At 40.9% G+C, this 25199-nt stretch overlaps 1 protein-coding gene across 7 annotated transcripts in view, besides 1 other annotated feature; it reads left to right on the forward strand.

Moving 5' to 3' along the window:
* Positions 1-25199, forward strand: part of PDE8A (phosphodiesterase 8A) — a 158676-nt gene that overhangs the window by 21822 nt on the left and 111655 nt on the right. The window lies entirely within an intron of this gene.
* Positions 6439-6488: a silencer, noted in NCBI's record as "silent region_6777". NCBI's record gives its function as "represses an Ori minimal core promoter by ATAC-STARR-seq in GM12878 lymphoblastoid cells {active_cell/tissue: GM12878}" and the evidence as "EXISTENCE:reporter gene assay evidence [ECO:0000049][PMID:35858748]".

The raw sequence follows: 25199 nt of genomic DNA on the forward strand, positions 1-25199 counted from the left end.
GATGATTTGCTAGACTGGCTCACAGTTTACTTACTAGATTACCAGTTTATTAGGAAGGATATATTTATTAAAGGATACAAATGAACAGACAGACAAAGAGGTGATACACAGGGCTAGGTCTAGAGGGTCCCAAGCACAGGAGCTTCAGTGCCTGTAGAGTTGGGTGCGCCACCCTCTGGCATGTGGATGTGTTCTTGTTCACCAACCTGGATGGTCCCTGAACACATCTTTCTGGATTTTTATGGAGGCTTCATTACATAGGCATGGTTGATTAAATCATCGGCCATTGGTTATCAGCTCAACTCTCAACCCATTTCCTCTCCACTTGATCTTAGCCAAAAGGCCGAGAAGCGATTCCCATTTCCTCTCATCTTTCCTGGGGGAGGTGGGGGAGGTATGCTGAAAATCCCAACCCTTTAATCCTGTGGTTGCTTGCTGTGGTAACCAGCACCCCATCTTGTGGTTATCTAGGGGCTTTCCACAAATCACCTCATTAGCATAAACTCCGGTGTTGTGGAAGGGGCTTGTTAGGAATAACAGAAGTCACTTCTTTCACCTTTATTGGCCTGGAGCTGCTCCAGAGCTGTTTCAGGACAAAAGACCAAATATTTTAACAAAAGATAAGCTATGAGTGAGGAATTGTGGAAGAAGACCAAAATATGTATTTCTTATTATATCACAACTATACTTTGGTATTTCTGTGTTTTTCATTTTACTTCTTTGAGTTTAGTGAGATGTCATGAATTTTTTTTTTTCAGTCAAGTTTCCTGATTATATTGGTCAGGTTTCTTTTGACTGTAAGTGACATAATGCATTCTAAACTAGCTGAAGCCAGAAGTGGAATTTGTGGATCACCATATTCTGGCTTACATAACCAGACCAAGGGAAGGACATGGGTATGCTGGCCTCTGGTACAAATGAAACCAGGACTTTTTTTCCATCTTTCCCTGTCATTGGTGCCATCTTTGTTTCCTTGGGCTACTTTTTGCTGTTCAACAGGAAACAATGTCCATCAGTAGCTCCTGGCCTCACATTTTATAACTTCATCAGTAGAGAGCTTCTTCCCTTAATTCCAATTTGAAAATCCTGGGGAAAAACCAAGATGGGCCTGGCTTGGAAACACCTGCCCACCCCAGCAGCCAGTGGACGACCTCTGCGATGGGCAACAACTTTCACAGAACAGGATAGTTGCAATGAGGGGGAGCGCCCCTCAGAGGAGGTGAGGGTACTGATCAGAACAATAGCTGTCCCTGCACTGGGGTTCAGCCAAGGCCCCAAAACGCTTTTTCAGCATAAGAATTAATACTACTTTTATATGTAATGATAGTTTTTATTCCTAATCTTACCCTGAGGCAGTTTGTATTCTGAATTGTTAGAGAACTTTTCCACTTACTCTGTTTGCTAAGAGAAGAATAGGTAATTTGTAGGAAAATTTCAACAAGGCTTCCCAGTTGACGTTCTCCCTTACTTCGTGTAGCCTGCCTAAGAGATATTTAATTACCCTGCATTGCTCATCACTTCTCATTTTACCCTGTCCTTAGAGAAGAGTGGAAGACTGTTCTCAAAGCAGTGATTCAGGGACTAAGGCTCCTTCTATCTGTGGCTCTTTTATCTTCAACATATGGTTGCCAAGGTTGCCATGCTTGTCTATATGGACAAGCTCCCAAAAGGAGAAAAGAGCATGGAGGGTCATGAGTGAGAGGTTTTTAACGGCCAGGTCTAGAAGTGGTCCATGTCAGATTACTTACTTTCCATTGGCCACATGGCCACACTTCACTGAAGGCTGGGAAATATGATCTAGCTGTGTGCCCAATAAGAAGAGGAACTGAGTTTCAGTAGCCAGCAAGCCAGCCTCTGCCACAGCTTCTTTGGTAACATTTGTTGCTTCCCCTTTTCCCCTTTGCCATGCATAATAGTTGTGTAGTTTGGGTGGGATTGAGCTCATTTCCAGCTCTAGGGTGGGCCCCAGCAACATCCTTGCCTCATTTATTGGTTCAGTAATAGATACATAACCCAGGCCCAAGCTGAGCAGGACATGGAATTCATCTGGTCCCAGTTACTAATTCAGGGGCAGGCATGTCATAGAAACTGTCCCAATCAGACTATGGAGTGGTTGGGGGAAGATGTTCCTCCCACCTCCCTCACAGCCCCCCACAGTGAGGACAAAGCCAACTCCTGGGTGAGAATAGGCTTAGAGAATTGCAAACCCGTATTGTGAAGTCCTACCAAACCTTTCCTGAAGCTCGCAAGAGCTGACCCTGGACTCTGCGTTAGCATGAGGCAGTAAATCCACTCTATCGCCTAATACTTTAAGATTAATTTTCTTGACTTGCAACCACAAGCATCCTGGCTGATACAACCAATGAAATGGAAGAGGAATAGGGAGAGAGAAAGGATACAATCTGAATCTCTAAGTTCTGCTTCCGTTCATTGCTGTCAGTTCTATGATGTTTCTTTGAATACTTGAACACAACCAAGTTGGGTCTGAATGGATGTATCTTAGTTTCACTTCCCCATTCTCTGGAATTAGAGTGGGGATAATTACATTTTTTAATATTCTTTTTTTTTTTTTTTTACCTTTAGACAATGTTTTCTCTCTGGATTGAATGATACATAGTTTCTTTGAAGAATACATTATGACATTTTATTTCTCTTCCACCATAATGGAATCATATGGACTCAACATAGTCCATATGATTTTTTTTCCTGTTTTGTTTTAGTGACTTTTCTAAAGTTTGTCTTTTCATCTAGGAAGTATATAGAATACATTTATCTTACACATTGCAGTATGCATTTGTTTTATAGCTGGGTATTATCTCTATATTACTATAGGACTTTTTTTTGTTTTTTGTTTTGAAACAGGGTCTTGCTGTGTCACCCAGACTGGAGTATAGTGGCATGATCACAGCTTGAGCTCCTGGGCTCAAATGATCCTCTCACCTCAGCCCCCTGAGTAGCTGGGACTGCTGCCATGCACCACCACATCTGGCTAATGTTTTAATTTTTTTGTAGAGAAAGGTTCTCACTATATTGCCCAGGCTGGTCTTGAACTCCCGGACTCAAGCAATCTTCCTGCCTTGGCCTCCCAAAGTGTTGGGATTACAAGTATGTGCCACTGTGCCCAGCTGTTATTACAGGAACTTTTAATATTTTGAGTTAAATATTCCAGGCCATTTTAGAATTTGAATAGCTTGTCAAATTTGTTGATTTTATAGCACCTCCGTCTTGAAAAATATGCCCCCTGGTGTTCCTAAAAGAACATTTTGAGAGAATTATATGGTATTTAGTAAGGCAATTAGAAATCACCAAGTATTTAGGGACTATTGCTTAAGAAGCTAATTTGCACAATCAGAATTCATTAGCCCAGGACACAGACACCTTATACACCTGTGGTGACAAATGAAAACTGTGAAAGTCCAATCTGATTCATTCCTCTCAGAATATGGAGGACAGGAGAGTGGGGACAACCTCAGCATTAGGACTGCCCTCTCTCGTTTTGTTTCAAAAAGAGTTTAAGTAACTTAAAAAATACATATAATAAGTTTAAAAAAAAAAGGAAATTGGGCCAAGGGAACATGGCGAGAACTGACCAATTAAGTCAGGAGTGAGGTCAGTATGTGGAAACACATGCCACAGGGGCATGCATGATTGCCATGGGGCTGGGTCACACGTTCGGCTCTGAGCTTCCACAGCCTCACCAAATACGAAAACAGTTGCAGAATTCTGGAGATTTAAAAATGGCAAATGACTCAGGAGAAGTACAGTTTCTGAGCTCAGACCTAAAGAAATTATTCTCTCAGGAAGGGGAACATCACACTCTGGGGACTGTTGTGAGGTGGGGGGAGGGATAGCATTAGGAGACATACCTAATGCTAAATGACGAGTTAATGGGTGCAGCACACCAGCATGGCACATGTATACATATGTAACTAACCGGCACATTGTGCACATGTACCCTAAAACTTAAAGTATTATTATTATAATAATAATAATAAAAGAAAGTATTCTCATGGGTCCTTTCAGAGGGACAAGGTTCTGAACAATGTTGCCATCATAAATGTGGTGGTGAATGTCTCTCAGTGCAAGCTGAGGGCAGGATGCCATACACAGATTCCAGGTGGGGCTAAAGTACATGGTCCAGGCACTCAGTTAGTTTGATTTGGGAATTAACATTTAGTCTACCTGGAAGAATGTGGTATTACCCATTTTTAATCTTGGCCAATTTTATTTGCATTAAGTTGATTTGAAACGGATATCAGTCTTTGTCCATATGTTTATCAACCATTTGTAATTTTTTTTATATTGTCTATTACTTTGGCTGTTTTCCTATTGGAGAAATAGAGTTTTTCTTCTTGTGTAGATTTTTTAAAAGTTAAGAATGTTAATCTTTTTGTCATGTGTGGTGAATAACTTTTTTTTTTTCCCTGGTTTGCCTTTTAAACTTACCCCTGGTAAACATTTTTAGGATTGCTCACTGAAATAGGAGGGAATTAGGCTACTGTATTGCGAGTGGGAGGATGAGATTAGGGCATGTATATGATGTCCCTTCTGGCATTAGAGACTTTTGACATGTACTTGAGAAGAGGGAATATTTGGAATTTGGACTAGTCCCTACGAAGAGGAGAGGAGGAGTGGTTGGGGACATGGAGAAAGCACCTTCGGCAGCACTTGGTGTCCAGCTGTGGTGGGACATTGTGCATTTAATTACCATTCTGCAAGCTGTGTGATCTTCAGCAGTGTTTGGCCATTCTTCTGTACATGGGTGAAAGATAGACAGTTAGATTGATCTGGAATTGGAGTTTTGCATTTCGCAGAATGTCCAGTAGCTACTGATGAGAGAGCAAAAGTGTGGGATGTGGGTTTGGGTTTGATAGAAGGGAAAAGCATTAGAGGGGGACTAGGAGAACAGATGATATAGGGCCAGGCAGTGTCAGTTAAAGGGGCCAAATGATTATATGCTTAGAGCAGTGCCTAATAGGTGGAGCTTCTCAACACGATTCAGCATGGGTGGTGGTGGTAAGTGAAGACTGAAGAAGCAGCCAGCCACAGTAGCACAAAAGCAGGCAAAACAGATCTGTGCTGTTAGAATTCAGCACAGTGGTACTGGGAGGGGACACAGGGCGGCTTCTAGTATGCCGGTAATGTTGCTTCTTGATCTGGGTGCTGGTTATACAGGTACGTTCAGTTTGCAAAAATAAATCTATTAGTACAGTTACGCTATATGTACTTTCTGTGTATGTTCAATAAAATGTAAAAAATAATGAAAGAGAGCACATACTTCGGTGCCCCACCACATTGTTTTCAGATCTCAGCTCTGCAACTTTATAGCTGTGAGACCTTGGGCAAATTACTTAACCTGTTTGTGCCTCAGATTTCAAGTCATATAAAATGAGAATAATACGTACATCACAGGAGTGCTGGGAGGATTAAATGAGTCTCCCAATAGTGTTGAGTACATAGTAAATACTCCCAGAGTGTTGCGTATTATTATTTTTTAAATAATTATTATAAATGCGAATATGTATGAGGGAGAACTGATGAATTGGAAATTTGTGGTCAGAGAGAGCTCTTGGACATTCTGCCAAATGACATTCCTAAGTATGGCCATACAGTGGTGCCTGTAGTGGAGTGGGGTTGGACTGCAGCTCATAGTCAGAATTAAAGGGAAGGGTGAGGTGGTTGTGTTGCCATATGAACCTTGACCTTGCCCAGGGTGATGGTAGTACTTGGAGTGAGCTTGAAGCACTGAGGTCCTTAATGTATGTGAGTGACTTAGAGGTCAAGAGAAGGTGGCAGGGGTGGCATTGCTGTGTGTTATGAGCCTCAGGGTATCTAGGAGTGACAGTGGGAGAGTCAGAAGCTGGCTCCCTCTAATAGGGAGTGGTCTGGGCAGCTGTGGCCTTTGCAGAAAGTCCTATTCCAGGACTTTCCCTACAGTGTCTGTGCCTGCATAGTCAGTGGCTCAGGGAGGGATCAGAAGCCAGGGAACTTTGCAATGTTGTGATGGTGAAATATGGGTTAATTATATTTGCTTCAATATATTTTCAGAATTCCACGTGCTGATACCCGTAATACTCTGTCAGACCCCATTACTGCCTTTCTCCTTGAACCTTAGCTATATCTGCTTCCCCTCACCAGACCCTTCCTCCATACTGTGTAACTCATCCCCCACCCCCAGTTCAGTTGGAGAAAGTTGAAGTCATTCTAGTTCCACACTCTGGGCCCCATTTTTAATAACCGGACCCTGTGGCTGTGGACACATTCCCATTTTAAATTCTGCTACCAGGTATAGGTCTTGCTCTTATACCTTATCCTGGCTACCTGCCAGTACTCCAGCTTCCCCACAGCTGAGGTCTTCTTTGCATTCGGCCAAACCCTTTTCTGACTCCAGGCCCCAAGGGTGCGAGCCTATCACCTGATATGAACTTCCTCCCTCCTCTAGTCTGCCTGAATCCTCCATTACCACCTTCATCCCACCCTATTCCACCTTGCCCCTGTCTGCTGAGCCATCTGCATTTGCTGAACCTCGCTAAGGCATAGTCTGCCAACATTGTCTGCTGGGGGTACAGAGAGAGCCTCCCTCTCCCTGTGTCTCGAGTTCAGCACCTATTCCACCTTAGTAAGCCTGTGAGGCTTTCCAGGCATCTCTCCCAAGCTGGTCTGTCCCTTGTCTTCAGGGCTCCTGTTCTGACACTGGGCCCATGGGAGGTACAAGTTTTGAGTCCTGTAAAAAGAAAAAAGAAGGAAGTGTCCTTCACACAACTTCTGACCTTTTTCTTCACTTCCTGGTGTGTTAGTGTGTGAGAGAGAGAGAGAGAGAGAGTGTGTGTGTGTGTGTGTGTGTGTGTGTGTGTGTGATGTTTAGGGTCTGAGGATATTCAAAGTGGAAAAGGGTATAAGAGCTAGGTAATTTTTATTTTGTGACTAGGCAAAGGCAGTCTAAAAAACTGACCTATGGAGACAATTTTAGTTCTCTTCTACCTGTTAATGTAAGAGATGTAAAAACTAAAGTCTTTCTTTTCAAAGTGACTACTAGAAAATCCTTTTGGACTGTAGGTAATACAGAATGTTTATAATCAGACCAACAAAATACTATTCCTACACATTGTTTTCTATGACCTAGAAATAAGGATGTTACAGATCCTTCTTTGTAATGGAATTTGTTGTCCTAAGATCATACCCATTGTAAAATTTAGGACTTTTCGTTGGTAAATAATAAAATTTGTGGAAAGAAGTACTCACAAGGATTTCAGGCTGGAGAAGGGACTATTGGCCATTGTATTTTTCCTGGCCAGTTTTCATCAAAAGTTTAGATTTTCTCCGGACTGTGGTAGGTTATCTTGTCTGTTATGACAAAAACTAACCAAACAAAAAACAAATGTCACATGCTGTTAGCAGGAATGTAAATTAGCAAGATTACTTTGGAAAACTGTTGGCAATATTTACTGAAGTTGAAAATATGCATGTTCTCTCACCACCAGTTCTACTTCCAGTTATATAGCCAGCAGAAATGTGTAGATATGTTCACCAAAAGTCACTACTAGAATGTCCATTGTAGTATTAGTCGTACTAGCTAAAAACTAGAAATAACCCCATAGTTCATCAGAAGAATAAGCTGTAATATAAGCATATAATGAAACACTTTATAGCAATGGAAATGAAAGATCATTGCTACATGCAACACCATGCATGAATTTCATAAGCATCGTGTTGAGTGAATGAAGCCAGACAAAAAAAGATTACATGCTATATGATTTAGTTTATACAAAGTTCAAAATCAGGCAGAACTATGGTGTTGGCAGTTAGGACAGGGCTCACCTTTGAGGAAGGGGAGGGGTAGTGATTTGGAGAAGGCTTGAGGGCTTTTGAATGTTCTATTTTTGACCTAGGTGGTAATTATATGGGTGAGTTCACTTTGTGATAATTAACCAAGCTGCACACTTAGGGTTTATATTCTTTTCTGTAAGTATGTTAACCTTCAATAAAAATGTCCATCAAAAAAACTTTCAGTGTTTATTATACTTGAGCCACATGTTCATATGCACCTGTCCCTTCTGGTCTTAGGGACTTAGCATGTGCTTTAGCCTCAGTCTCAAACAGTTTGACTTCCTTTTTGCAAAATAATACTCATCATTTTGGAAACCTTATCTGATAAGCTGCTTCCCTCTCTTCCTTACACACAGAAGGGAGTGTGTAGTTTCCCTGTTATATCCTCTGTGGGCACCATGTCCTGAACCACAGCTAGGAGTTCACATGTCTGTATGTATTTGATTGCCTCTCCTGATGTTTAAACTTGAGGACGCTGGGCCTATTTATGCCAGTCATTATGTCTCTAGGGACCACTACAGTGCCTACACTCATTGGTATTTGTCAAATGAATGAACTGACTTCAAAGGGAACAGTCTTTTTTTCTGTCACCCATTTCAACTTTTAATTAGGGTTAGTAGGAGGTTGGAGCCCCTGTGAGGTTGCATGGAACATTTTTGAGATAATAGTGACTTTAATAGCCTTAAAGTATGACCTGTAGGAAAACTCAGCTGAAGGAGGGGAGCAGTTATTGGCTAATCAGTGTCCCTTAACCTAGTTCTGTGTTTCCCCCAGTCGTGTTCCTGAGAGTGAAGTTTATATATGATGACTTCATTTGTTCTGGCTTTTCTCATGACAATCCTAAGGTCAAGTCTATTTTAAGTCTGAGAAATATGTCCTGGAAGTTAGTTTCAGAGTCCCTATTTCCTTTTTCTCTCCTTTGTATTGAAATCTTGGCTGTCCTCCCCATTCCCTCCTTCCAAACTGTTCTTAGAAACGACTTTGCAAGTATCATAAATATCCTCTATGTTGATTTTTCTCTGAACTTTAGCTGTTCTTTTTCAGTTAGATATGGGGAAGTGGCACGTTCTCACTCACCATTCTAACCTGACAGAATTAAGCCAAAAGCAATGTTCAGATTGGCCCAGTAGGAAGACGAATTGAAGATGAGACATTTACATTACACTTTATTTGCTGGATGATTTTTGTAGGGTTTTTTTCTTCTTGTGTAATGTTGTTAGAAGACAGGTTTGGAGCCAGAGAGTACTGGTCCAAAACTCAACCCTGTCTCTCCCTGCTTTTTGACCTTTGGCAAGTTTCATAACCTTTCGGGGCCCTAGCTTTTTCTTATTTGTAAAGTGGTGGTAGTTGTCCAGTTTTAATTAAATTTTGAATGTAAAATGGTCTGTCAATGTGTAAAAAATTATAAAACACTCAATAAATTGCAGTTGCCTAAAAGGGAAGCTTCAACTTTATTGTTAGAAAAATAATGGTTTTCCTAGAAGAAAACCTAGGCATTACCATTCAGGACATAGGCATGGGCAAGGACTTTATGTCTAAAACACCAAAAGCAATGGCAACAAAAGCCAAAATTGACACATGGGATCTAATTAAACTAAAGAGCTTCTGCACAGCAAAAGAAACTACCATCAGAGTGAACAGGCAACCTACAAAATGGGAGAAAATTTTCGCAACCTGCTCATCTGACAAAGGGCTAATATCCAGAATCTACAATGAACTCAAACAAATTTACAAGAAAAAAAACAAACAACCCCATCAAAAAGTGGGCGAAGGACATGAACAGACACTTCTCAAATTAAGACATTTATGCAGCCAAAAAACACATGAAAAAATGCTCACCATCACTGGCCATCAGAGAAATGCAAATCAAAACCACAATGAGATACCATCTCACACCAGTTAGAAAGGCAATCATTAAAAAGTCAGGAAACAGCAGGTGCTGGAGAGGATGTGGAGAAATAGGAACACTTTTACACTGTTGGTGGGACTGTAAACTAGTTCAACCATTGTGGAAGTCAGTGTGGTGATTCCTCAGGGATCTAGAACTAGAAATACCATTTGACCCAGCCATCTCATTACTGGGTGTATACCCAAAGGACTATAAATCATGCTGCTATAAAGACACATGCACACGTATGTTTATTGCAGCACTATTCACAATAGCAAAGACTTGGAGCCAACCCAAATATCCAACAATGATAGACTGGATTAAGAAAATGTGGCACATATACACCATGGAATACTATGCAGCCATAAAAAATGATGAGTTCATGTCCTTTGTAGGGACCTGGATGAAATTGGAAATCATCATTCTCAGTAAACTATCACAAGGACAAAAAACCAAACACCGCATGTTCTCACTCATAGGTGGGAATTGAACAATGAGAACACATGGACACAGGAAGGGGAACATCACACTCTGGGGGCTGTTGTGGGTTGGGGGGAGGGGGGAGGGATGGCATTAGGAGATATACCTAATGCTAAATGACGAGTTAATGGGTGCAGCACACCAGCATGGCACATGTATACATATGTAACTAACCTGCACATTGTGCACATGTACCCTAAAACTTAAAGTATAATAATAATAGAATAAAAAAAAAAGAAGAAAATAATGGTTTTAACATACAGTATTGTTAGACTCCGAAAAGTAGATTAGGGCTTTCTTTTTAAGAATTTATTTGGAAATTAATTTTGATGATTTATAAATGATTATATAATACCCAGTTATACAATTTACCCTTGGGAACAAAGAAGGAAATATAATATTATATTGGCTTGTATAATCACCCTCTTACTTTGGAAACAAAAGAGTGGGAGTGGGAGAATTTTGGAGAACCTGATCCACTGTTAACTCTAATAATCGTTTCCTGAAGAACAGCCCCATCCACAGTTAAACAGAAATCTGGGGATATTAAATGGAGCTTTGTACTCTTGTCACTTTTTTCTTTCTTCATCAATTTCTAGTTGCTTAGAATTAAGGGCTACACTAAATGACCCTGCATTTGTTGGTGAGAACAGGGGAAGCAGAGAGATGTTTTGTAAGGGATGGAAGGTAGTATTTACATACAAAATTCACAGATTTGGACCTTAGCAACTTTGATCCTGATGGGCTTGATAGAGAAATTACAAGGTTAAAAGGGCTTTGAGATGTGGTGGAAAGAACAGAGACTTCCTATACCCTGCCTCTACCACTGTGCACTTTTAACAAGTTATTATCTTCTCTGAGCATCACTTTTCTTATCTGCAAAATGGGAATAATGAATTCTATCTTTTAGAGTTTTTGAGATTAACTGAGATAATGTGATAAATGATACTTTTCTTAAGGCAGTGAGGTAGAAAAGCAACAAATTTTTATTAGCTCTTTCTTCCTCTCCTTCAATTTAATCTATTATATGTGTTTGCCAGAATAAAGGAATTGTGTTTAAAGGATTGTCTGTAATTACTCAACTTAGTATTTTGAAATATTTTATTGTGGAGAATTTATAACATGTACAAAAGTAGAATTATGTTGTATTTGTTGCATAACAAATTACCCCAAAGTTTACTGGCTTAAAACAGTAATAAGCATTTATTTCTCACTGTTTCTTTGGTTCAGGAATTTGAGAGAAGCGGGGCTCAATAGTTCTGGCTCATAGTCTCTCTTGAGGTTGCAGTCAGGTGTTGGCTGGGTCTTTGGTCATCCAAAACCTTTAGTGGGCCAGCGGATTCACTTCCAAGGTGCTTCACTCATATGATTGGCCAAGTTAGTGCAGGATGTTTTGGGGTTTGAGGAAAGGCCCAATTCCTCTCCATGTGTGTCAGCTTCACAGGGCTGCTCAGGTACCCGCTGGCTTCCCGCAGAGAAGTGATCCAGGAAGTCAAAGCAGAAGCTACAATGCCCTGTTTGACCTAGCCTAGACTACATATTGTCAGTTCCACTGTATTTTATGCATTACATATACCAGCCTTGATTCAGGGTGGAGATGATACACGATCTTGTGATGATAATCACATCTTTCTTTCTTCCTTTCTTTTTCTTTTTCTTTTTCTTTTTTTTTAAAGTCAGGGTCTTGCTCTGTCCCCCAGGCTACCAGGCTGGAGTGCAGTGGCATGATAATAGCTTAATGCAGCCTCGAACTCCTGGGCTAAAGCTATTCTCCTGCTTCAGCCTCCCGAGGAGTTGGAAGTACAGGTGCGGGCCACTAGTCCTGGCCACAGTCATCACATATTTCATTCATTAGTGGTGATATGGCGGCAAATGGTGATATTCTAATTCTCTCATTACTTTTTCATTTAATACTGAATACCTCTATAAAGAGAAGCTCCTCTCATTAACTATGTGATAAAGTTTGAATAGCATAGGCAGGATAAATGCTTGTTTCTTGTTCTCCATTTATTATACCAGTTTTCAGAATAATGGTTTGACTTCCTAATATCCTCCAAAGGGGACCTGTTAAATGTTATTTGTATTACTATGAAGTTAAGTATTTTAATGTATTTGATATGTTTCAGTCAATTGCTCTTATTACCTATATTGATGTTCATATATTTATACCCCTTTTAGAGAAATGGTGGCATACTGTACATAGTACTCTTGATTTGCTTTTCTCGCTTCACAGCATATCCTTGGGATCACTCCATAGTTGTCTATGGAGGAATTGTTCATTCTTAAAAAAATTGAAATATAATTCATATACTCGCCCTTATAAAGTAGACAATTCATTGGTTTTTTAGTATAATCAAAGTTGTGCAACCATTACCACTAATCCTAGAATGTTTTCATCAAAGAAACCCTGTACCTAATAACAGTCCCTCCCCATTGCCTCCTGCCCCTTTACCCGCTACACCCCCAGCCTCTGGCAACCACTAATCTATTTTCTGTCTCTCTGAATTTACCAATGAACGTTTGATTTAAGTAAAATCATATAATTTCTGGCCTTTGTGTCTGGTTTCTTTCAGTTAGCATAATGTTTTCAAGGTTCATCCATGTTTTATTAATAGTTTGAATCAGTTCCTCCTTCCTTTTTTAGCAGCACAGTGCTCCACCGGCTTGATCTGTCTATACCTTAGCTAACCAGCTCATGTTGGTGAACATTTGAACATTTGAGTTGTTTCCCTACATTATTATATGACCTTGTGCATAAGTCTTTTTTTTTTTGGACAGGGTTGCCCAGGCTAGAGAGCAGTGGTGCAATCACAGCTCACCGGAGCCTCGACCTCCCGGGCTCAGGTGATCCTCCTGCCTCAGCCTCCTGAGTAGCTGGGACCACATCACGCCTGGCTAATTTTTGTAAAGATGGAGTCTCACTATGGTGCCCAGGCAGGTCTCAAAACTACTGGGCTCAAGCAACCCACCTGCCTCAGCCTCCCAAAGTGCTGAGAGTCATCTTTTTTGTTTTTTAATGTGAATTTTGCTAGGTGTTGTTCAATTTCCCTCTATAAGGGTTGTACCATTCTGAATTTTTACCAGCAGTGTATCAGAAAGTATTATTTCTCTACTGCCTTGCCATAGAATATTTTGTGATATCTCACTATGGTTTTTAGTTATCATTTTACTTCTCATATCGTGATTGAGATTGAGCATCTTTTCACATGTTTAAACTCTGCATTCCTTTTTTTGTTAACTATCTGTCCATATCACTCTAGACTCTCTCCAAAGGGTCGTTTGTATTTTCCTTCCATTTTTGGCATCTCTTTCTATATTGCAAATATTCTTTCCATTTCTTTATTTCTCCTTTTGTTTTAAGATGACTTGTCGGCTGGGCGTGGCGGCTCACACTTGTAATCCCAGCACTTTGGGAGGGTGAGGTGGGCAATCACTCGAGGCCAGGAATTGGAGACCAGCCTGGCCAACATGGCAAAACCTCGTCTCTATTAAAAATACAAAAATGTGCTGAGTGTGTTGGTGCACATCCGTAATCCCAGCTACTTGGGAGGCTGAGGCATAACAATCACTTGAACCCGGGAAGTGGAGGTTGCAGTGAGCTGAGGTCGCGCCACTCACTGTACTTCAGCCTGGGTGACCAAGCAAGACTTGGTCTCAAAATAAATAAATAAATAAAATTTAAAAAATGACTTGTCATTGCAAATTTAAATTTTTATGTAATTAATTCTAACAATATTTCCCCTAATATCTTCTGGAGTTTGAGTCATAATGGGAAAGCTTTCCATACTCCATGTTATAAAATATTTACCCATGTACTCAATGGTTTTATTTTTCACATTTAAATCTTCAATCCATTTGGAATTTATCTTGGTGTATGATATGAGGAATAAATTCAGTTTAATCTTTTTTTCCATATGGCTATGGAATTATTCCCAGCACCACTTATTTTGTTCATTCCCCCACACTAATTTGAGATAAATTCCATTCATAATTGAGTTCATTTCTGGATTCTCTGTACTGTTCCATTAGTCTCTCTTTAATTATGTGCCACTACCACACTGTTTTAATTATAGAGCTGTATAAGAATTATCTTGCAAGGCTATTCCTCTCTCTTTTCTTTCCCTTTTCAGGGTCTTCTGGCTGTTCTTGCTTGTTTGTTTTTACAGATGAACTTTATAATTAGCTTGTCTAGCTGTGGGAAGAAAACTCAAAGGTTTTTTCTTTTTATTGAGGTTGTATTATATTTACAAATTAGTATAGGGAGAACTGACATCATTGTGATGTTGTATCTTCTTATACAAGAACATGGTATGTCTTTTTACTTGTTTAAATCTCTTGTGGTTTTTTGGGAGTGTTTTTATGACTCTCCTCATAGAGTTCCTTATTGAGTTTATGCCAGATGTTCTATTATTTTTTGCTTTCATAAGTAGGATTTTCTCTTCCATTATGTTTCTAACTGAATTTCCCTTTTTTTTTTTTTTAATAAATGAAGCCTGGGCCGGGCGCGGTGGCTCACGCCTGTAATCCCAGCACTTTGGGAGGCCGAGGCGGGTGGATCATGAGGTCAGGAGATCGAGACCATCCTGGCTAACAAGGTGAAACCCCGTCTCTACTAAAAATACAAAAAATTAGCCGGGCGCGGTGGCGGGCGCCTGTAGTCCCAGCTACTCGGGAGGCTGAGGCAGGAGAATGGCGTGAACCCGGGAAGCAGAGCTTGCAGTGAGCCGAGATTGCGCCACTGCAGTCCGCAGTCCGGCCTGGGCGACAGAGCGAGACTCCAAAAAAAAAAAAAATAAATAAATGAAGCCTGTTGATTTTGATATGTTTCTTATATAGCCTGCTAAGTTCTCTGATTTGTAATACATAGCACATAAATTCTTTGGGGTTTTCCAGACATATCATTATATTATTTGTAAATAGAGTTTTACCTCTTTTCCAATTTTTAGACCACTAATTGCAGTCTCTTATTGCATTGGATAGTATCTTTAATACAGTGTTAAAATAATAAAGAAGATAATGTTTTATACAAAATAGTGTGTCTTGTTTCTAACTTTGTCAGGAAAGTTCTAGTTTTTCCCCATTAATATTTAGCAGACTTTTACACTTTTATTAAAGGAATAAGACCGGACACGGTGGCTCACGCCTGTAATCCCAACACTTTGGGAGGCTGAGGCGGGTGGATTACTTGAGGTCAGGAGTTCAAGACCAGCCTGGCCAACATGGTGAAACCCTGTCTCTACTAAAAATATAAATATTAGCCGGGTGTGGTGGTGGGCACCTGTAATCCCAGCTACTAGGGAGGCTGAGGCAGGGGAATTATTTGAACCTGGGAGACAGAGGTTGCAGTGAGCCGAGATCGCGCCATTGCACTCCAGCCTGAGCAACAGGAGCGAAACTCCGTCTCAAAAAAAAAAAAGCAATAGTGGGAGGAAATTATGTGGAGAAAGTTTTTGTGTTTTTTGCTTCTTTTCAAAGTATGGATGAGATATGCCCAGGATGGTGGTGGTAGATATTGTGATTATTTCTACTCTCAATTCTGTAGTTATAATATCCAGAATAAGTATGGTTTGATGAGCGTTTCAAAACAACCACTTTGGCTATCAAGTGAAAAGTAGATTGTAGAGCAACAGAAGTGGCAGTAGGCTAACTACAGGACTTTTGCAGCTCTTCAGAGAAGTAGTTTGGATTTCATGGTAGCAGTAGATGTAGAGGGATATAGGCAAACTTGGGATATATTTTGGAAGTAGAGTCTGTAGTGGTACTAATTAAAATAGTCATGTAGATAAACTGTTTCTTACTGTTTCAGGACAAGATGAGTCTATGCCAGATGTAAGTCACCACACTCATTTACTGATTTCTTCCTTGAGGATTTTTTGTTGTTAAAAAATTTTTGTGGTTGATCTGCATTCTGTCTTAAACTCTTTATTTCATTGTGGATTATTAACAGTTGGTCCACGGGCCACACTTTAAGCAACGTCAATCTCTAGTATCCATCTTAGGGGCAAACCATGATCTATTTAACCAGTCTCTTACTATTGGGTAGATGGTTAACCCTCACATCATCTTTTTTTTAGTATTAGGAATAAGTAACATTGCCATGAAATGCTTGTTTCTATAATTATGTGTATATATCTTATGCTTTCTTTAGGATAATTCCTGGAAATAGAGTAAGGATTTTGGAACATAATGACAAATTGTTCTCCATTTTACACACTTGCAGAGCCACATTTTTACCAGTATGAATTCTTTTTTCAAAAAAATCTTTGCTAATTTGGATGACAAATAGCAAGTTGTTATATGAATATGTACTTATTTGATTACTAGTAAGAATATTTTAAATGTATTTTTTGGAATTGATACATCCACCTTTGCCATTTTTAATGCTCTTGGATCATTTTTACTTTGGGGTGTAAGTACCATTTACATTAAGGTTATTTACTCTTTGTATAATGAAAATATTTTTCCTCTGTTTTAAAAATGGATTTTGGTATTTTTGCATCATGTAGAAATTGTCCTTTTTTATAGACTCTCCTAGCAGTATAGTTACTTGGGAGGTGTAGTTGGTCAAGCCTTGCTGCCTCCCTGCTTCCATCTCTAAAGAGGTTGCCCTTTGGTGGTAAGGGCAGTTCACTATTGTGAACTTGCTGGGGTAAAAGGTTTTGGTGTGAGGAACTTAGGAGTTAAAAACTCTTCTGTAAGGGAAATGTATATGAGTGATGGATGATATTAAGAGGTTATTTTTAAATTTTGTTAGGTGTGAAAATGGAATTGTGGTTGAGTAGAAAAATCTGCATACACACATAGATGTATTTAGGGGTGAAAAATGTGAGGGATTTTCTTGAAAATACTACAGTCAAAAAGATAGACATAGCAAATGTATCAACATTTAAAAAATTTTTGATTTGAGTGATGGGTTTATGAGTGTTCTTAACACTTTTAAAATTTTATTTTAAAGAAATGGGGTCTCGCTGTGTTGCCCAGGCTGGACTAGAACTCCTGGGCTCAAACGATCCACGTATGTCAGCCCCTACCGAATAGCTGGCATTACAGGAGCACTGTGCTTGGCTTCTTAATACTATTCATTATTTTTGTGGGGTTTTTTTTGTTTTGTTTTGGAGTCAGAGTTTCGCTCTTGTCACCCAGGCTGGTGTGCAATGGCATGATCTTGGCTCTGCAACCTCTACCTCCCAGGTTCAAGTGATCCTCCTGCCTCAGCCTCCCAAGTAGCTGGGACTACAGGCACCCACCACCACACCTGGCTAATTTTTGTATTTTTAGTAGAGACGAGGTTTCACTATGTTGGCCAGGCTGGTCTCAAACTCCTGACCTCAAGTGATCTGCCCACCTTGGCCTCACAAAGTGCTGGAATTACAGGCATATGAGCCACTATGCGTGGCCAGTGTGTATGTTTCGAAAAGGCTCTTGGGTCTCTGGAGAACTTTGGGGGAGTTTTTTTTTGGTTTTTTTTTTTTTTTTTTTTTTTTTTTGGCTTCCTGTGACTAGGATTCTCTTCTTAGTCTCTCTTCTGGCACTTTGCAGGCCGGGTGGTTGGTGATCTACATTACAAATGGAGCCACCAGTAAAGTCAGAAATGAGTCAAAGAAGGAGGTTTATGGTTGCCCCTTTATTTAAATGATCATGGTCATTGGCAAATAATAGGTATTCTTTCTTAGGCACAAGATTACTAATCTTCTCAATTCTCTGTCTGTGTTTATTTTTTATGTGATCTGTCTGCCAAAGAAGGAGAGTAGTGTTTTGAAGTCCTTCAGTCACAGTTGTGGTTTTGGCGAGTTTTTCCTCATACTTCTCACAGCTCTGGGCATTAAGAAAACAACAAGGGCCCGGCGCAGTGGCTCATGCCTGTAATCCCAGCACTTTGGGAAGCCAAGGCGGGTGGATTACCTGAGGTCAGGAGTTTGAGACCAGCCTGGCCAACACGGCGAAACCCTGTCTCTACTAAAAATACAAAAGTTAGCCGGGCATGGTGGCGCGTGCCTGTAATCCCAGCTACTTGGCAGGCTGAGGCACGGGAAGTGCTTGAACACGGGAGGTGGAGGTTGCAGTGAGCCAAAATTGTACCACTGCACTCTAGCCTGAGCGAGACTGTGTCTCAAAACAAACAAACAAAACAACAACAAAAAGTTTTTTTAATTTTGAAATAATTTTAGACTTAGAGAAAATTTACCAAAAAAAGTACAAAGAATTCCTGCGTAGTCTCTACCCAGATTGCCCAAATGTTACTAATATTTTACCATGGGCTTCTATTTATTGCCTGTATGTATCCATATTATTATTATTTTCTTAATCATTTAAAGTAAGTTGCATACCCGATGCCCCTTTACATCCCTTCAGTGTGTTAATTCCTAAAAATAAGGACATTCTCTATTATCAATACTGTTACCAAGATCATCAAATTAACATTGTTACAGTATTGTTAGTACCACAGACCTTATTCATGTTGTCCCACTAATTTCCTTTGTAGCTGCTATGGTCTCAATGTTCGTATTCTCCCAAAATTCTTGTTGAAACCTAATCACTAATGCAATGGTATTAAGAGGTGGGGCCTTTGGGAGATGATTAGGTCATGGGGGCAGAGACCTTGTAAATGGGATTAGTTCCCTTAAAAAAGAAGATTGAGGGAGCTTGTTCTCCTGTCCGCCTTGTAAGAACACATAGCAGGTGCCATCTATGAAGAGTAGGCCCTCACCAGACACTGATCTTGGACCTCCCACCCTCCAGAACTGTGAGAAATAAATTTCTGTTTATAAATTGTCCAAGCCTGGTGTGGTGGCTCACACCTGTAGTCTCAGCAATTTGGGAAGCTGAGGTGGGAGGATTGCTTGAAGCCAGGAGTTCAAGACCAGCCTAGGTGACATAATGTGACCCCGTCTCTAAAGACAAATTAAAAATTTAGCTGGGCATGGTGGCCTTTGCCCGTAGTCCTAGCTACTGGGGTTGGGGGTGGTGGTAGTGCAGAGGTGGGAGGATTGCTTGTGCCCAGGAATTCAAGGATGCAGTGAGCTATGATCGTGCCACTGCACTCCAGCCTAGGCAACTGAGCAGTACCCTGGCTCTTAAAAAAAAAAAGTTACCTAGTCTAAGGTATTTTGTTATAGCAGCTCAAACTGACTAAGACAACAGCAGAAGAAAAAAAAATACTGTTACTTTCTGATCTCATATCCAATCCAGGATCACACATTAAATTATCATGTCTCTCTAGTCTTCAGCCTGAGGCAATTCTTAAGTACCTGTCCATTGAGATCTAGATGTTTTTGAAGAGTACGGAACAGTTATTTTGTAGGATTTTCCTTATGTTTGCTTTGTCTCCTGTTTTCTTGTGATAGATTCAGGCTGTGCACGTTTGGCGGGAATACCACAAAAGGGAGGTTGCGTGTCCTCCTTACTGCATCATATCAGAAGGCACATTCCATCTGTTTGTTCCATTACTGGTGATTTTCACTGTGATCACTTAAGGTGGTGCCTGCCAGGTTTCCTTAGTATTTTCTGCTTTGAAATGAATAAATATCTTATGGGGAAGTATTTTAAGACTATATACAAATTCTCTTAATCATTAAGCTTTCACCAACTAGTTTTAACATTCATTGGTCATTTTTGTCTGAAATAGCTAATACCACGGATAGTTGCCAAATGGTGAATTTTAACTCATGGGTAGCATGTTTTGACAGCTTGTTATTCAGCCATTTGGGGTTTGTCTTAGTTCTTTTCAGCTGAGATGTACAGCAGCTTTGTAGAAAAGGGCAGCTAGATCTCAGCATTGGTCCAAAGACATGGGTGCTTCACATTTTGTTATATCTGTTTGGACAGGACCTGGATGGGTCGAGTTCTCACCCATGCTGGACGGGGCACCCTGCCTCTGCCTGTCTGCTCTTCTCTAGCTCTAGCACCAGTCCACCCAGGCAGCTTTGTCTGGGTATTGGAAGTGTTTTTTTTTTTTTTTTTGTAATGTCTGACATAGATCATATTAACTAGAATAAACCAGGCAAGGCGGCATTTTTCAGAAGGGGCTATGGCATGGTAGTGTCATATATATGCAAAATTTTTTTTTTTTTTTTTGAGATGGAGTCTTGTTCTGTCACCCCTGTCGCCCAGGCTGGGGTGCAGTGGCGTGATCTCAGCTCACTGCAACCTCTGCCTCCCGGGTTGAAGCAATTCTCCTGCCCCAGCCTCCGGAGTAGCTGGGATTACAGGTGCATGCCACCACACCTGGCTATTTTTTTTTTGTATTTTTGGTAGAGACAGGGTTTCACCATGTTGGCCAGGCTAGTTTCGAACTCCTGACCTCTGATGATCTGCCCACCTTGGCCTCCCTAAGTGCTGGGATTACAGGCGTGAGCCACCGGACCTAGCCAGATTTATATCTAATGGGATCAAGAGAATATTTATTTTGTTGAATGGAAGATGAAGATATATGAACATGTTTACATGCTAAAGGGACAGAGTCAGTAGGAGAGATTAACGATCAAGACAGAGGGGACTGTTAAGGGAGTTTCCCTGAAAAGGTAGACCTAGGTAATGGGGTTAGCTCTTGGCAAGAGAACGGACACTCAGGAGGAAGTTGGAAGGAATGAAGGGAAGGGAACAGTACTGTTTTTCAGGTTATGAGTAGGCAAACATTTGAAGGAGTTGTTCCCTAATTGCCTCATTTTGCTTTGTGAAATAGGAGTGAGATTATGTCCTAAGAGTTAGCAGGTACACGTCTTGAGGACGTCGCTGAATAGGGAAAGTGTTGTGGGGAATAAGAGCATTGTCTGGGGTTCACCAAAGGATTTCTAGGCTTCTGGTGGTAGAGACCATGAATTCTTGGTGGCCTCAGTCTGCAAGGCTCTGTTATTTTTCTCCCGCAGTGGTTATCAGCTCAGGTGGAGAAGCATAGGAAATAATTGGGTTGGTTGGGGATGGGGCTTTGCCACATATTGTGGTGGGAAGGCCAGGGAGGTAGGAGAACAGAGAGTGGGACAAGAGGGTTGGACTTTGTTTGGAGACGTGGTTTATGACTCCATGGTGGTCTATACAGAACTGGGGAGGTGGGATTGGAGAGAGGGTAAAAGAGTGAATGTCTTGAGAAGGTCAGAGAATTATTGGAGGAGGAATTAGGTTCAAGATTGCTAGCAGCATAGGAATATTAGAGAGTAGAATATTGGAGTTTAGCATTTTCATCATGGGACAGTTCTGGCTGATGAGGGGCTGGAGTGGAGCAGGGTAAGGTGAAGATCACTGGGTTGTGAGAAAACTTGAAATTGGTGGATGGGTTATTTATGTGGACATTGACACCACCAGGTTGATGGGAGGACATTGGTGGAGGGGGGATGACAGTGTTCCAAGTGTTCAGGGAAGGAGGGAGAGTTGAGCAGGAATGAAGTATTGAGGCCAGATGGCATGAACACACTTAAAAGATGGCATTTTGGTTGCCAAGGGATCAGGGATGGTTTGGACCTGGAGGTTTGGTGGAACTGGCTGTCCACAGCCTCCAAAGATGTCTTGATGCTACGAAGAGTGGAATTTGCTCAGATTTCCAAAAAAAAGTTGGTCATTGGGCCTTTGCTTGTATTTCTTCTTCCTGTAGCTCCCTTGCCTACCTTCTCTACCTGGCTAACTCCTGCTGGCCCTTTAAGACTGAGCTCTGAGATCACCTCTTCCGGGAAATCTTTCTTGAACCCTCTGATCCGTCTATCTGTCCCTATGTTCCTTATGCTTATCTCTAACTTAGCAGGTATCATACCATATCATCGTCTGCTGTCCTTCCCTCCCCTAGACCATAACTTCCTTGATGAAAGCAGGGACTGTATCTTTGCATCCCTGGCACAGTACCTGGCATATATTTGGTTGAACTATATGAAATTGCCATTTAAGAAGTGAATTTGGTCTAGTTTGTAATTTCTCTCCTTAATAGGTGACTTTCTTTTGTCAGCTCATCTTGAATCTTTTTCTGAAGTTACAAGCCCCTTTCTTAGTTTGGCCTTAGCCAAGTTCCATGCAGGTTGTTTCTCTTTTAGTGACCAACTAATTTCTATGTGGGCCAGTCAGTCTTTCATCTTGCTTAGGCTTTTTTTTTTTCTTTTCACCCTCTATTACTCCTACTGCGTAGGCTTTTTGTTACATTAACTTCCCTTTTGCTTTTCTCTACCCTCAGCAGAGGGGGTCAAAAGAAACTTCTTTGTTCTTAGTCTTCCTTAGCTGCCCAAAATTTCCCAGTAGTTTGCCCATGCATTTCATTCCCCTATTGACTCTTACTGAGTGACCTATGTGCCAGGCAAAAATTCGGACTTGTTCATTCTAGTTTCTCTGCTTCTAGTGTGTCTCATGCTGGTGTTTGTTGGCTCAGATGTGTTAATGGGGCTGCCGCTGCTGTTGTGGTTGTTAGTCATTCTTTTGAACAGCGGCTTTAGCTTACCAATGCTCCAGATACAGTTTTTCAGAAACTCAATGATCTGTGTGCATTACACATTAAAAAGTGCATTGAACAACAGCATATCCAGATTAAAAACAAACAAATTAGATTTATCTGGTGTTTTTCCATTATGGGTTGGAGCAAACATGCTGTGTATAAATCAGATAAACCTTTTCTTTCACTGTTTCAGACTGAGAATTGTTTGTTCTTGCTTTTGTGGTCACCAAGAATGTAATATAACTATGCTCTTCACATCCTAAGGCCACCATAAGTCCTGGATCAGACCTGTTTTTTTGAAGTCACCTGAATTTTGACTTGAGGCTCCCCCAACCCTTACTCCCACTACCCCTTTGAACTGGATCACTTTGCTTTTAAGGGGCACTCCCTTGAAGCCAGTTCCCTGAAGTGACCTACTTTCTTGAGGTGCTTGAAGAGCTTCCCTTTCATTTGGGAGGCTTCCTCAGTGCCCCCATTCCCAGGCGTTTTTTCCTGGGAGTCCTGTCCTATTCATGAATTTCCTGTTTTTTCCAGGGGGGTGGGTAGGGGGTGTGGGGGCAGGCAGTACTATGTTATTATCGTAACTAGTGACATTTAAAGAAAGAAACCCAAAGCCCAGTTAACCAATTACACTTAAATTCTCTGGGCCCAGGCCTGCTGGATGCTCTCCATCTACCAGAAATGCTTCTTATCATCCCCCCTCTTTTTTAGACTGCTAATCCTTAACAGATTAATCTGAGTTTATATTTAGATGAAAGTTATTCATTAATAGAAAAACCTGAAACTGTAGTGAGGGCTGACAGTGTTGAAGTGGATAGAGGTACATAGGCCACCTTTAGACCAAAAAGTCTTTGTAAGGCACTGGAGTCTTTAAGTGTCTGCTTTGGCACAAGGACATCAGGTTATCCTTAGGAAGCCAGGAACACCTTGAGACTCGGGCCAGAACAATGTGGCCCACCTTTGAGCTTCAGGTTTGGTCCCAGTGAGTCTCACGCCTTTTTGATGCTGACCATATATATGGGGCAAAACACTCTGTAATCTGCTTTACCCCACTACACCCATCCCATCCATCCCTAGTTGCAAAAATTTCAACTTGTATGAATATGCACAGATTCAATAGTGGAAACTCAGCACTGTTGAGTGCCAGGCTTCAAATATGGAATTAGTGACCTCTGAACCCGTGTTTGTCAAACTGCCTGCTAATGGGTCATGACATCAGTTTAGCAGATTATGCCTAGCACTATTGTTCCAGTTAAATTGCTGTGAAACAAACCACCCCAAACTTAGTGACATTAAACAGTAACCGTTTATTATGCTCATGGATTCTGTGGCTCAGGAATTGGACAGGGTACAATGGGAGGTGGCTTGTCTTTGTTCCATGATGGCTGGGGGTTGGGATCATTTGGAGGCTCTTTTACTCCACATCTGATGTCTGGGCTGGGGTGCCTTGAAGGCTAGTGGAATCAGCTGGGACCAATGACCAGAACACCTACATGTAGACTCTCCATGTGGTCTGGGCTTCTCACAGTGTGGTGGCTGGGTTCCAAGAGAGAGGTTCCCCAGAGGAAGCATTTAGAGAGCCAGTGTTCCAAAAGAACAAGGACATTTGATAACCTTGCCTCTGAAGTTACATGGCATCACTTCTGTTCCGGATTTGTGGATGCTATCTCAAGCCTGCACAGATTCAAGGGAGGTGGAGATAGAGAGATGGAGATCTATATCCCCATCTCTCAATGGGTAGAGAGTCAAAAGATTTGTGGCTGTTTTTAAAACTACTACAAGTTCATTTTAAAACAAGATAGATGCTTGAGCCCAAAAGTTTGAGGCTGCAGTGAACTGTGATCATACCACTGCATTCCAGCCTGGCCCTGTCTCAAAACAAAAAACAAAACAAAACAAAAAAACTAAATTTAAAAAATAAAACAAGTTAGAATATAGAACAACAGAGTGCCTCATGTAGTCAAAAAAGGCATTGTGAAACTTGTGTTTCAGTTATGTGTGTCTGTGTGTTCTGGTTTATGAGGTAACGTTTTTCTTTCTGTGGTCTACAAAAACATTTTTTAAAACACTGCTTAACTGTAGTAACATCTAATTTGGTTTATGAACACCAAATTTTATCTCTTAATACCTCAGTTAATAGGTTACTATTGTGTGGTTCTTTGTTATAAAGATGAGAACCTAAGGAATTGATTGTCCTTTGCCTGTAAGAACAAAAAGTCCTTTGGGACCTGTTTTCTTTGCCCTCCAGGACTCCCTGAAGGCCTTGTTGGACTGTGGACCAGACTTGGAGAGTCAGTGTGCTGCAGAATGGGCTGTGGTCTGGGCCAGGAGTCAAAACTTCCTTAAAGTTTTAGTCCAATCTTTGCCAGTCAGTTTCCTAGAGTAGCAAACAAATGTGAAATGAAGAGGACATACTTCTTTTTAGAGACAGTCAGAAAATATTTAGCCATCTGGAAGCCCAAGAACTATTCATAATAATAAAGAGACAGCTACCTCGCCTGAGCAAGGTGGTGTCTGTGGTAAAGCAATCTCAGGAAAGGCTTTCTACCTTCAGTGTTGAAATCAAAAGGAAATACTGAGATTGGGGTCTGCAAGAAA

The sequence above is a fragment of the Homo sapiens genome, chromosome 15 (assembly GCF_000001405.40).
Source record: "Homo sapiens chromosome 15, GRCh38.p14 Primary Assembly".
Lineage (NCBI taxonomy): Eukaryota > Metazoa > Chordata > Mammalia > Primates > Hominidae > Homo > Homo sapiens.